The sequence below is a fragment of the Homo sapiens genome, chromosome 17, assembly GCF_000001405.40.
Source record: "Homo sapiens chromosome 17, GRCh38.p14 Primary Assembly".
Classification (NCBI taxonomy): Eukaryota; Metazoa; Chordata; class Mammalia; order Primates; family Hominidae; genus Homo; species Homo sapiens.
This window is the reverse complement of record NC_000017.11, coordinates 36,362,896-36,377,361: the sequence shown is the minus strand read 5'-3', so window position 1 is coordinate 36,377,361 and position 14,466 is coordinate 36,362,896. Positions and strand designations below refer to the sequence as shown.

At 44.9% G+C, this 14,466-nt stretch overlaps 1 pseudogene; it reads right to left on the bottom strand.

Annotated features, from left to right (window-relative positions):
• LOC100420852 (nitric oxide synthase 2, inducible pseudogene) overlaps positions 1-3,903 on the bottom strand; it is a 52,131-nt pseudogene extending 48,228 nt beyond the window's left edge.

Here is a 14,466-nt window from a genome sequence, read left to right as displayed (position 1 = left end):
GGTTCAGGTTCACTTGAGTCTAGAAGTCTGAGACCAGCCTGGGAAACCTAGGTGGACCCGGTCTCTAGAGAAAAGTCAAAGAAATTAGCCAGGCATGGTGGCGTGTGCCTATAGTCCCACCTAGTCAGGAGGCTGAGGCAGGAGGATTGCTGGAGCCCACGAGTTCCAGGAAGCAGTGAGCCATGATTGCACCACTGCACTCCAGCCTGGGTGACAGAGTGAGACTTTATCTCTTAAAAAAATTTAAGAAATTTAATGTGGGTACAGTTCTATTAACTAAATAATAATGTGAACTATTATCTAAGGTTATGAAGGCTAGAATTATCCCATTTTTGCCTAACTTCTCGTACCTGTCCCAAGATCCCACCTTGGACTCACCCTCTGCCTTCAGCTCACGTCTCTTCAGCTTCCTCCACATGGTCCAGCAAACACACACCTGGGCTGAATGGTAGAGCTGATTGCTCATACACAAAGGTAGACCGGTGGGCAGGGATTTTCAGACTTACACAGTCAATGAGTTTTCCTTGGTGTTCTGGAGAGCACCGTTTGAGAAACACTTTGACAGTGAATCTAGGCCTCAAGATCCATCAGCTGCTCTAGCTTGAATTTTGCTCAAGCTCAGTGAACACCTGCTCTGCCGGGTGCACGTGAAAGGGGCAAGGATGAGAAAGCTGTAGATAAAGAAGACAGGACGCAGGGGGTCTGTCTAAGCTCTATCCCCTGCCTTCAGCACTGAGGGATGAAATCCAACTCTTAGGGAACGGTGGCCACGTGCTGGGCCAGCCCCAGGCTCTCAGGATCTGACAGTGGGTGACGCAGAGCCAGGCCTTGCCCCTGGGGAGCTCTCCAGCATACACCTCCCTCTCCCCTCCCAGCGTGCCGCAAAGCAGGCGTCAACGCCATTGTTAATGCACGGAGGAGGAACCTGACTGTTAGACCTGGGTTTTCCAGGGTTGCACGGCTTCTGGGAGACGGATGTGACCCTGAGGACAGGGCACAGGCCAGTGTAATGCCAGGATGGAATGAGCTGTGATCTGTGCTGTATAGAGGCCTAGGCCAAGGTGGGACTGACGGATGACCAGGTCAGCCGGGTCACTGAAAACACTCTTGGGTCCTCACCTGCCGGTTCCCAGGAGTCCGGAACTGCCAGGAGAGTGGTGGCAGGTCCCCCATCCTCAGCTGGGTGGGCCTGGATAGAACAGCAAGGTGAGGGCACATTTCCCTGGCCATTCCCTCCAGGCACAGCTGTGACCTGTTCATTCCAAATTTGTGGAAGTATTTCCACACACACAGAACTGCAAATAGCAGTGGATGTGGTGAGAGGCGTTTGCACATGGGATAGGCAGGATTTTGGAGGCAGAGCCTCCAGGGCTTGCCGATGGGTTAGCTGCAGGGCTTGAGAGGGAACGGAGAATCCAGGATGATGTGTTCAAATCGGTCCATTCACCTCTTCCGTTCCACGCCTGTGCTGGGCACTGGGAGAGACAGATGCACACAGGAGCCCCGGACGAGGGGAGGTGTGGGGGGAAGCCCAGAGTGTCTGGGCAGGGTAGGAAACCCAGAGCGTCTACTGGGAGCTGAAGGCTTAGGTCCACCTGGGTGCCGTCCAGGTTCTCTGCATGTAGAAGTATAGGCTGAGCTTCCCGGAGGAGGAGCAGCTGCTGTTGCTGGTGACCAGCACATTCAGGAACGGAGACTACTCTGTCAACAGACAGGGGGATGACCTGAGGTCTGGATGGTCTAGGGGGTGGTAGGGCCCAGGAGGACCCAGGAAAGGGTCTCGGGGATGCAGAACATCCTATGGAGGGCATTTGGGAGTCAGTGCTCAGGTCACTCCGGGTCACTCAGGTCATTTGCCGGCCCCTGTCATAATTATTGCCATATGAGAGTGCCACCCGTCCTATGACATATTTTATATATTTCTGTGAATGGCCTACTTGTTTGTATTTATGAATTTATGTTTAAAGGATGGGCAGGGGTGCTCGAGAGGTCCCCAGGAGTTTCCCTCTGGGGAGAGAGGGGCCCACCCCTTCCCAGCAGCCCTCTGAGCCCCCCGATCGCTTGGCCACAGCCTCTGCCTGGAGAAAGCATCCCCCTCGGAGATATATGGACATCAGAAGAAACCTTTCTCTGTCACCAGGACAAATCCTGTTCTTATTTGAACCAAGGCCAGTTTTCCTAATGAATGCAGGGAGGACAGCACAGATCAATGAAACCAGCAGATAATCCACAAGACTGTTTCCCAGAGCTGGGAGATTTCCTTCCCTGCCAACACTTTTCCTGAAAGGTCTTAAGAATGAGGCAAACAGTTTAAGTCTCTCTTGCACTGTTCTTTTAGTGAAAGAGTTCAATGAGGAAGGAGAGGAAGTGGAGCATATGCTTAGTTTCCAAGCTGGAAAAGTGGCCCATGGTTAACCAAGACTAGATGTAAAAGCACAGGTGGCCGCGGGTCCAGGTGAGTCGGTCCTACGATGGCACGGCTGCTAATGCCAGCAGATGCTCCTGTCCTCTCCTTTCAAGACTGACTTCTTCTGGTCTTTCATTCGTTAAAATAAAATTGACAGGGCATCATCCAAGAAGCTCTACACTTTCCCTTACTTGGATTTCAGACTCTAGATTCTGCTGAGATTTGAGCTTCATGGTGAACACATTCTTGTTGTGCTTGCTGCTGAGGGGTGTGGAGGACAGAGAGATGGTGAAATGGCAAAGTGGCTCTTGAGCATGGGTGGGGGAAGCCCCCACATATCTGAGTCAGTGCCACCTGGACACTACCCTTGGAGCATCCTGCTGAGGTGGCCATTCAGGTTTTCTTTCCTTTCCTTTTATTCCACTGTTTCTGAATCACAAATAAAGATCCAAGGCAAACAGCACATTCAGATCCCCAAGCTCTCCACCTCCAATGTGACCAGGGACGTGCACCACTTCAGGCTCATGCAGGACCCACAGCCTTTGGACCTCAGCTAAGGGACCTGCTTCTCTTCAGCACACGGGGCTTGTTTGTGTTGGGGTCTGAGCCCTGAGCGCATGGTCAAGGAGACCCCCAGGTCTTTCTGAACAGAGACAGCTGGCCTGGCGGCCTCCCTCTCACTGCATGCAAGAGTCTGTTAGGGCGGCTGTCTTGCTTCTGTGTGTTGGGAAATTCAATTTAGGTACCTAAAAATGAAAAGTCCCAGGACATCTCCATGGCTTGGGATCCACAGGAGAGCATCATTGATGCTGGGGACAATTTAAACATATAGAAACCCACAGGGCTACCTTAGACAGGGCACAGGGCACAGCACCCGGGGATGCAGAGTGGAAAGTTCACCACTACAGCCTGGAATTGCCTCTGTGATGCCTTCTTCATGACACTTGGCTGCCTTCGTGGCTGGAAGGCTGAGGCCCAGATCCCAACATGGCCACAGGCTAGCAGCTTGCTTCACCTTCCTGAACTGCAATTTCTCCATCTGAGCCTCTCTCCTAAGAGGAGTGTGCAGGGTCACTTAGCCCATATGGGCCAGAAACCCCACACGGTGCCAGGCACACAGTAGGGCCTCGGCAGATGCTGCCCCCTTCTGTCTCCACCACCCTCCTGGGGCTCCCTCCTGAAACAGCCTCCCTCAGCGCCTTGAGTCTTGCACCCTAACAGCCTCTTGCACGCAGTGAGAGGGAGGCCCCCAGGCCAGCTGTCTCTGTTCAGAAAGACCTGGGGGTCTCCTTGACCATGGGCTCAGGGCTCAGACCCCAACACAAACAAGCCCCGTGTGCTGAAGAGAAGCAAGTCCTTTAGCTGAGGTCCAAAGGCTGTGAGTCCTGCATGAGCCTGAAGTGGTGCAGGTGCCTGGTCACACTGGAGGTGTAGAGCTTGGGGATCTGAATGTGCTGTTTGCCTCGGACATGAAACATCTCACAGACTGCCTGGAAGAAGGTGGAGCAGACTGGGGTTAATGGTCAGCAGCAGCAGCATCCCCACCACTGGGGCTATCCCTTTTTAGGCCCTTACCGTGGGCCAAACACTGAGCCGTGTGCTTCGTGTAACTTCTAAGCACGCTTACCTGATAGGGTGACAGCAAAGACTCGAAGAGGTGCCTGGGCTTGGCACATAGTAGCTATTGCTACTATTATGAATGTTGTTTTGTCTTTGTTTTTGTTTTGAGACAGGGCCTCACTCTGTTGCCCAGGTTGGAGTACAGCAGTGCCATCATAGCTCACTGAAGCCTCAACCTCCCTGGGTTTGAGCAATCCTCCCACCTCAGCCTCCCAAGTAGCTGAGACTACAGGTGTGCGCCACCAAGCCCAGCCAATTGTTTGTATTTTCAGTAGAGACTGGTTTTGCCAAGTCGCCCAGGCTGGTTTCGAACTCTGGGGTTCAAGCAATCTGCCCACCTCAGCCTCCCAAAGTGCTGGCATTACAGGCGTGTGCCACTGCGCCCAGCCATTATGAATGTCAATATTGACATGATCTTGTATCCTTATGCCCACACTGGGAGAGGTCTGATTGTCCCCATGTTCCTGGTGTGGAACCACATGGAAGAGGCCTATGTTATCCCAACAGTGCAGAAGCACAGCCTGAGTCTCTTCTTTGGCTGAGCCAAGGGCGTGCTGGAGAGGCCTGACAGAAGAAGGAGCGGCCCTTGTGACCAGTGCCCTTTTGGTTCACAAGGAACTTCTCCTCTTGTTGAAGTGACTTGGCTGAGCTTGCTACTTCTGCTTTGAGAGTCAAATATCAGGATCAAGACTTTAATTATCCCCAATTTACAGATGATGAAACCATATTGGGCAGGAAAGAAAGTCACCCCAGGAGAGCAAGTTGGACCTGAGCACTGGCTGAGGACAAAGGAGAATGATAATTTGGGATGTAACTTGTTAAGGGGTCTCACAAGTGTTCTTGTGATCCAGGTGTCGAGAGGATACAGCAGAAAGGTTGCCAGGGAGATGAGGGTAGGGTGCACCACAAGAGTGGGAGAAATTAAAGAGAACACGCAACAAAGCCTTGGGACACTGGGAGGGGGATGGACCACCCAGTTTTGTGCTATGGGAGAAGACAGCAAGAAAAGGAATCTGTGTTAAATCCCGACAGCCTGCATGAGAAGCAAATGCCCTTCATTTTCTTCATCAGCGGCGAGACTGGCATCCCTGCAGCTTTGGGAGACCATGCTAGTGTAGATGCCAGCTCACGCCAGCGGGCCTGACTGGGAGACCTTGGGCTGGGGTTCTGGTCTGGGGCTCCTAGGCCTGATGGGAGGAGAGTTCAGCCCCAGGTTTCCTGTACTTCAGCTCATATCCACACAATGGTAATTATTGAAATGAGAGACTCAAAAGAAGATGGAACGTGAACTTTTTTGTTGTCCCATGTGGACACCTGTGTTCGGTTTCCAGTTCTACCTTTGCTGTCTGTGTGTTCTTAAGTAACTCACTTAAACCTTTCTGAGTCTCATTTTCTTCATTTATAAAATAAAAGACGTAACATTTATGTCAGATATTGTCCTGAGGATTAAATGGGAGAATGAACAAGCCTCTTCTGCATTCCCCTGGCATCCAGTGGGTGGAGGCCAGAGAAGCTGCTAAACATCCTGCCAGGTGCAGGACAGCCCCCATCACAAAGAATTGACCGGATCCTGATGTCAGTAAGGCAGAATTGAGGATCCTTGGTGTGGGGGAAAAAGAATAAACTCAGAAGCTTGGCAGATCTCAGTTCAAACCCTGGTTGTATCACCTCTAGCTGAGTGACCTTAGGCAGGTCTGTGAACTCTCTGAGACTCGGCCTCCTCATCGGTAGAATGAGGTAGATAAAAATGCCAAGCTCGGCCGGGCGCGGTGGCTCACGCCTGTAATCCCAGCACTTTGGGAGGCCGAGGCGGGTGGATCATGAGGTCAGGAGATCGAGACCATCCTGGCTAACAAGGTGAAACCCCGTCTCTACTAAAAATACAAAAAATTAGCCGGGCGCGGTGGCGGGCGCCTGTGGTCCCAGCTACTCGGGAGGCTGAGGCAGGAGAATGGCGTGAACCCGGGAAGCGGAGCTTGCAGTGAGCCGAGATTGCGCCACTGCAGTCCGCAGTCTGGCCTGGGCGACAGAGCGAGACTCTGTCTCAAAAAAAAAAAAAAAAAAAAAAAATGCCAAGCTCACCCAGAAATAACCCCGTGCATATATGGTCAACAGATCTTTGACAAGGCCATCAAGGATATACAATGTAGATTCTTTTATTCCTTTACTTTCTTAATAGACTTGCTTTCACTGTACTGTAAAAAAAAAAAAAGGCACAATGTAGAAAGGAAACTCTCTTCAATGAATGGTGTTGGGGAAAGTGCATGAAAAAGAATGAAATTGCACACTTGTTTTACATCATATACAGAAAATTAGCTCAAAGTGGATTAAAGATTTAAATGTAATATCTGAAACCATGTAAATCCTGGAAGTAAACATAGGGAAAAATCTCCTCGACATTGGTCATAATTGGCAATATTTTTTTTGATGTAACACCAAAGCACAGGCAACAAAAGTGAAAATAAATAAATGGGACTACATCAATCTTAAAAGGTTTTACACAGCAAAGGAAACCATGACAAAATGAAAAGGCAACCTACGGGATGGAAGAAAATATTTGCGACCCATATATTTGATAAGGGGTTATTTGAAAAAATATAAGGAATTCACACAATTCAATAGCAAAAATTAATAAATACATGAATAACGCAATTAAAAATAGGCAAAGGACCCCAATGGACTTTTTTCCCCAAGGAAGATATACAAATGGCCAGCCAGCATATGAGAAGGTGCTCAACACCACTAATCATCAGAGAAATGCAAATCAAAACCACAGTGAGATATTGCCTCATAGGATAGGACGGCTCTTATAAAAAAACGACAAGAGATAACAAGTGTTGGCGAAAGCATAGAGGAAAGAGAACCCTTGTACACTGTTGGTTGGAATGTAAAGTGGTATAACCTTTACAGAAAACAGTATGGAGGTTCCTCAAAAAATTAGAAGCAGAACTACCATACGATTCAGCAATCAGGTTAGAACCTTGAAGAGAGATCTGCGCCCCATGTTTATTACAACACTATTCACAATACCCAAGATATGGAAACAGCCTAAGTGTCCAGCAACAGATGAATGGATAAATAAAATACATATAAACAATGGACTATTAGCCATTCAAAAGAAGAAACTCCTGTCCTGGATAAACCTGGAGGACATTACGCTAAGTGAAATAAGCCAGACACAGAAAGACAAGTTTTGTATGATCTCACTTATATGTGGGATCTAAGAGAGTCAAACTCATAAAAACAGATAGTAGAATGGTGGTTGCCAAGGGCTGGAGGTGGGGAAAATGGGAAGCTATTAATCAAAGGGTGTAAACTTTCAGTTATAAGATGAACAAATTCTGGAGATTTAATGTACAGCATAGGTGGTAATGGATGTAATAAATTTGATTGTGATAATTAGTACACAATATATACATATATGAAATCATCACATTGTATGCATTAAATATACACAATCCTTGTCAACTCAATATTTTTAAAAAAATTTTTAAAATGCCTAGGTCATAAGAATTCTGAGAATGAAATACAACAACATACATGAATGGACCTGCTACACAGAAGGTGCTAAATAGGTTTGTTTTGTTTTATTTTATTTCAACTCTGGCAGATGTAGACCTATTGGGAAAGAATATAGAATGCACTTGTGCACAAGGATTATCTATACGATGGTTAAATATCCTGCATACATGCCATGTCATTTCTACTCCTCAGTCAATGGATAATAAAAGCAGAACCAGCCTTCTGGTGGTCACAAAACATTTTGACATGAGAAAGGCTGATCATGAGCAATCTGGCAATGTACATCCCAGAGCGTGCATGCCCTTTGACCCACAGCTACCATGATGTCATGTCTAGCAATTAGTCCTAAGGAGATGATCAGAGATGTGTAAAGAGATTTCATTCTAACAGCATCCTCTGTAGTGGTATATGTCAGGGGCTGGTAAGCCATGTCCAGAGGAGCAGGCTGCATCTAGTCCACCACCTGTTTTTATAAAGTTTATCAGAACACAGTCATGCCCATTCATTTACAAATTGTGTATGGCTTCTTTCCCTGCAACAGCAGAGTTGAGTGTTGCAACAGAAACCTATGGCCTGCAGAGTTTAAAATATCTACCCTTTGGCCTTTTATAAAAAAAGTTTACTGATTCCTGGTGAGTATATTAAAAAGTTAGCAAAACCTAAATCTTCCAGAGTGGAGAATTAGAAAGTAAGACGTGTTGTATATAAGACAGACAGTTTGTGTGTGCGTTTATTTATAAATATATTATTCTGAAATAATGTTGTCGACATATGTTGCAGGTCTTAAAAATTGGTCAATATATAGTGTTAATCAAAAAATGGCAAATTGTAAAATGTAGACAGAATGTGATTGTGTATTTTGTGCATACACCAACAGAAAAGGGTGCTAGGAAACCTGTGGACCAACATACTAAGTGTGGCTCTTTTGATGGTGGTATCATGGATTTTTAAAAATCTTCTTGGTTTTCTGTAGATTCTGACTTTCCTGTCATGAGTATGAATAAGTATGTATTTCTTGAGAAATGTGAAAATAACTTTATCTTCCCAGATTTCTCATAATTGAAAATGTTGGAATAAATGGTCCTGGGACAGATCTTTCCATTGAGAAGGGCAGAAGGGAAACCCTGGGGATTCAGCTGGGTTTCTGTTGCATTTCTGGTAACACACAGTTGTGAAAAGCCAGTGTTGGCCGTTCCCCAGGACAGTCTGGGGTAGAGGAGGTCAGGATTTAACTACTTGAGGGTCCGGGGAACAGATGTGGCCACAGTCCTTCCTGACTCACTGTTTTCCCTTCCACAGTCCCCGTCTTCTCTTCACTGATGCACATAGATGCCTGACCAGAGGAGAGATTTAGTTTTCGTCCAAGGATTATCTGTTATGTTGCAGTTCTGAAATTCCCATAACGTTTAGGCTAGAACACAAGTGATTTCATTATCTCCAATGTGTATGGCTTGATAGAAATAGATTCCATTATGTAGCACCTTAAATCCAGATAAAACATAAGGAATTTCTATTCCATGTTTGTATGATCAATGTTAATAATCTAAGAAAATCTAAAAAGAAGCTACTTCCTATATTACAGTATGAAATAAATATGCTGAATGATTTGTTTTGGGGGGTGGAATGGAAAGGTATAAGACTGAGGAGGGTGCCTGTGGGAACAGTGATAGGAATCCTTTCTTAAGGGTTGGGTTTTACATACGTCTTTTAAAATAGATGATATCATTAATAAATTATCTGTGGGCATCATGAAAAAAGTGTATAACGTACAACTTTATGAGCTTGACAGTTGGTGAAAACTTTTCTGTTTAAAATTTTATTTGGCCCTCCCCAAAAGAAATGTTTATTTATGAGTATTAGGATAGTTCCAGCAGTAATGCCTCAAAAGAACCAGGAGGTATAGTGTTGTCTAAAATGTGGACTCAGGAGCCAGACTGCCTGGCTGTGCAACTAGCCTTGTCACTTCCTAGATATGTGGCAAGTTAATTAACTTCTCAGTGTTCTTATCTGTAGAATGGGGATAATCCTAATATACATCTCAGGGTTATATTACAAATTAAAAAAGTTAATTTTGTAAAGGACTTAGAATGATATCTGGCAAATAAAAGTGTTCATAAAAGTAAACCCTATAAAAGTGTTTACTCATTAAATACAATAATCTGAAACCATTAGTAATTTAAACATTTGTGGCTGACTTGGTAATATTTATGAAAATAAATACTGTATTTATAATCTTTGACCTTATTTGACTCCTAGGAATTTATTGTCCAGCAAACATTTTCACAGGCAGACAAAAATATTACTATAAAATCACGTTTATTACACCAATCTGTGCAAAAGGAAAAAATAGACAATTAAAATGGCCATCAAAAGGAGTATTGATTAAGTGAATGATAGTAAATCCATTCAATAGTAATCATATTATCCAAAAAGAATGAGGCATAGTCATGTGATGTGGGAAGATCCACGGCTAATGTTAAACGGTAAATGATACAAACTGTTATGCCCAATAAAATACTTTCTGTGAGAGAATATATGTTAATTTATGCGAGTGGCGCCAATGTGGAGGGTTTATGCTAATTTCATTATACCTCACAGACAGACCTGGGCTCTCCCACTCATTTTCTATGTGGCCTGGGGTAAGTCATTTATCTGCTGGAAGCCTCAGCTTCTTCATCTGTCAGGCAGTGATACCCTGACTACTCTGCAGGGTAACTCTGAGATTTCAACGTGATCATCTCAGAATATGCCTGGCAAACAGTAGGAGCTCAGAACTTGATGTTTTTTTCCTACAGCAACTGCTGTAGGGGATAGCAGCTAATGCAAGAGGTTGGTAAATCCTTATATATATCAAATATTGTAGAAACATAACTACATGCTACTATTTTTTCAAACCCTCCCCTCACCCTTTTTTTTCCCCTGAGACAGAGTCTCACTCTGCTGCCCAGGCTGGAGTGCAGTGGCGCCATCTCGGCTTGGCTCACTGCAACCTCTGACTCCCGGGTTCAAGCGATTCTTGTGCCTCAGTCTCCCAAGTAGCTGGGATTACAGGCATGTGCCACCATGCCCAGCTAATTTTTTTGGTATTTTTAATAGAGATGGGGTTTCTCCATGTTGGCCAGGCAGGTCTCCAGCTCCTGGCCTCAAGTGATCTGCCTGTCTCGGCCCCCCAAAATGCCGGGTCAAACCTCTTATATCCAGTAAAACAGCCTCACTGGGTCAATGGATATCATGTGGCTGCCTAACATTTTTACTTTATAAAAGGTCTTCCTGAGGCCATTTGAAAGTATGGATCAAAACACTTTATGAACAGGGCCACAGGTTTGCATGAGGTTTGTCAGTGGACCTCCAGGATGAAGAGACCAAAGTGACTGTGCAATTTCTAGTGGAATAATTTACACTTAAGATCTCATTTATTTATCAAAAGACCGCTGTGAGGTAGGAATTCTTAACCCCCATTTGCAGAAACAGACTTTGCCTGACACCACAGAGCTAGGAAAAAGTGGGCATAAGATCCTCATCAAGTCTGACTTCCAAAAGAAGATTCAAAAAGAAACCTCCTTGCTACCCGCCAAATCTCTGTAGAGCCAGCCATGTTCACACATGAAACAGGACAATGACAATAGCACCAGGAATAGCTACTCCTGGTCAGATGCCCTCATGAGGTCAACTCCGCGGGATGGGGACACCGGGCCCTGCTTAGGGGAAAGGAAGGGGGTTTGTAGAGGAAGCCCAGCCAGCCAAGCAACCAGAGATGGGAAAAACCTATTGGGAAGAACTTGCTTGCTCTAGCTGGGCTTTGCAAAGAACAGGAAAAGATGAGTCTGCACAGACAGAAATGGTCTAGAATGGCTGAATGTTTCATGTAGAAATTTTATTTTATGATTAATACACTCGTGCCATTTCTTGGAACCACTTGCTTGTTTAATTCTAGTCTATCAAGTGATAACTTTGTTGATATTTAGAGGCTCCTCAGTTAATTTCTGTGGGATTTTTGGTTATATTTAATAAGGAAAATAATATGAAATGTCTAAGAAAAAAAGAAACAAAGTCAATTATTCCTGAGAATGTTTAAATTTATTGAAGTACACTTGTTAATTGTTAGTATAGAACCTACATTTCATGATAGAAAACCTTGGACTTGCCAGTTGTAGCTGCTGGAATGAGGTGTTTGTCCAGTACATCCAGAACGTCGCCACAGATTAACTTTAGCTCAGTCTCAACCTGAAAAAATAAAAATAAATTAAAAAAATCAGATCGTTGAAGTCTAGAAATTCTGTAAATTATTACACATTCTATCTACCTCTGGTTTTGAGGAAGAGAGCTTAGTGTTACAGAGAATTCATTTCCCTCTCCAAACTCCCTTCCTCCCTTTTGACACAAAAGCAGAGAAAAGCTGCCTGTCGGTTATCAAAAGTATCTTTTCCTTCCTGCCTGCAATTAAGTGCTACACACACACCACCCCCCACCCCAATACCCCCTCACAGTCCAACTGCAGAATCACCAATGACTGAAACTAAACACTGATGCTACTTGGTAAATGCTGGTCAATTACATGAATCTTTCACAAAGTAGCAACTATTGTGTCCATTTACTGGGGAAAACAGAAGCTAAGACATTTGCTCAAAGGTCATCCCCTTAAAAGAACGTAATAAGCAGAGCTAGGATTTGAAACCAGGCAGGGTGCAAGGGACAGAACAAAATTCAAACCCAGGCAGTTTGCCTTCAGTACTTACATTCCTAACAAGGTTCAACAGGCAATGCCTTTAGTGGAAGAGACCAAAAACTAGTTAAGATACCAAAAATCTGTGGACCAAAGTAACAATTGCCACTCATTTATATTCATTTATAATGCTAAAAATGTGCACCACCTCTAAAGGCACATACCCAGTTTACGTCTTTTTTTTTTTTTTTTTTTTTTTTTTGAGAGGGAGTCTGGCTTTGTCACGCAGGCTGGAGTGCAGTGGCGTAATCTCAGCTCACTGCAACCTCCACCTCCCGGGTTCATGTCATTCTCCTGCCTCAGCCTCCGGAGGAGCTGGGACCACAGGTGCCTGCCACCACGCCCAGCTAATTTTTTGTATTTTTAGTAGAGACAGGGTTTCACCGTGTTAGCCAGGATGGTCTCGATCTCCTGACCTCGTGATCCGCCTGCCTCGGCCTCCCAAAGTGCTGGGATTACAGGCATGAGCCACCACGCCAGGCCTATTTTTTGTTTTTTTAGACAGAGTCTTCCCCTGTCACTCAGGCTGAAGTGCAGTGGCCCTATCTCAGCTCACTGCAGCCTCTGCCTTCCAGGTTCAAGCAGTTCTCATGCCTCAGGCCCCTGAGTAGCTGGGATTACAGGGGTGCGCCACTGTCTCGGGTTAATTTTTGTATTTTTAGTAGAGATGGGGTTTCACCATGTTGGCTAGGCTGGTCTTGAATTCCTGGCCTCAAGAGGTCCACCTACCTCGGCCTCCCAAACTGCTGGATTATAGATGTGGGCCACGCGTGGCCCAACTCTACTATTTCAATGCAGCTCCTGTACCCTAGGTCATCACTGACTTCCCAGTTGCTGAATCCAGTTGTCTTTACTGAGTTGGTCCTTAATTTAACTTACTTTTGCATTGAAGCTACTGACTGACCACAGCATTTTGAAACTCTGTTCCTCTTATTACTGTGATTCTACTTTCCTTATTTTTCATCTTATCTCTTAAGTCTGTGGCTTCTCAGACTTCCTCACAATTGATTGCTTATTTTAAAAATTCAAAAATTTAAACCTCCCGAGCAGTTCAAAAACAATATACCTTTGAAATTTTTTAAACTTTTCAGAGTTGCAAGAATAGTTCAGTGATCACCAGGTGTTACCATTTTGCCATATTTTCTTTGTCTCTGTGTCCCTCCCTTTCTACCTGCCCCCACATATATGTGTATCTATGAATATTGACATTTTTTAACATTAATAAATTTTCTTTCTGTACAATTTGAGAGTTAACTGCAGATTTCATAGCACTTCACCCCTAATTTCTTCTATACATCTCCTAAGAATAAGGGCATTTTTTTTTTTTTTTGAGAAGGAGTCTCACTCTGTCACCCAGGCTGGGGTGCAGTGGTGCAATCTTGGCTGACTGCAACCTCCACCTCCTGGGTTCAAGCGATTCTCCTGCCTCAGCCCCCCAAGTAGCTGGGATTACAGGTGCCTGCTACCATGCCTGCCTAAGTTTTGTAATTATAGTAGAGATGGGGTTTTGCCATGTTGGCCAGTCTGGTCTCAAACTCCTTACCTAAGGTGATCCGCCCTCCTTGGCCTCCCAAAGTGTTGGGATTACAGACGTGAGACTCCATTCTCAGCCTCTTTTTCCTTTTGTAATTAACAAGTGATCTATGGCATGATAGAAACAGTGTGAATATTCTGTCCCATAATAATCTTTACTTAATGGTTTCATCTGGATTGCTTCTTGCCCAAATCAAATATTACTATAGTGATTAGAAATTGGAGACTTTTCTATTTTTTCTGTATTTTTTCTATATTGTCATTCTTCTGTAAAGATTTTTTTAAACTCTTTTGTTTTTTTTTTTTTGAGACGAAGTCTCGCTTTGTCACCAGGCCGGAGTGCAGTGGTATGGTCTCAGCTCACTGCAACTTCTGCCTCCCAGGTTCAGGCGATCCTCCTGTCTCAGCCTCCAGAGTAGCTGGGACTACAGTCATTTGCCACTGTGTCCAGCTAATTTTTTGTATTTTTAGTAGAGATGGGGTCTCACCATGTTGGCCAGGATGGTCTTGATCTCTTGACCCCGTGATCCAGCCACCTCAGCCTCCCAAAGTGCTGGGATTACAGGCGTGAGCCACCGTGGCTGGCCCTATACTCCCTTTTTAAATTTTTTTTTTTTTTTTTTTGAGATGGAGGTTCACTCTGTTGCCCAGGCTGGAGTGC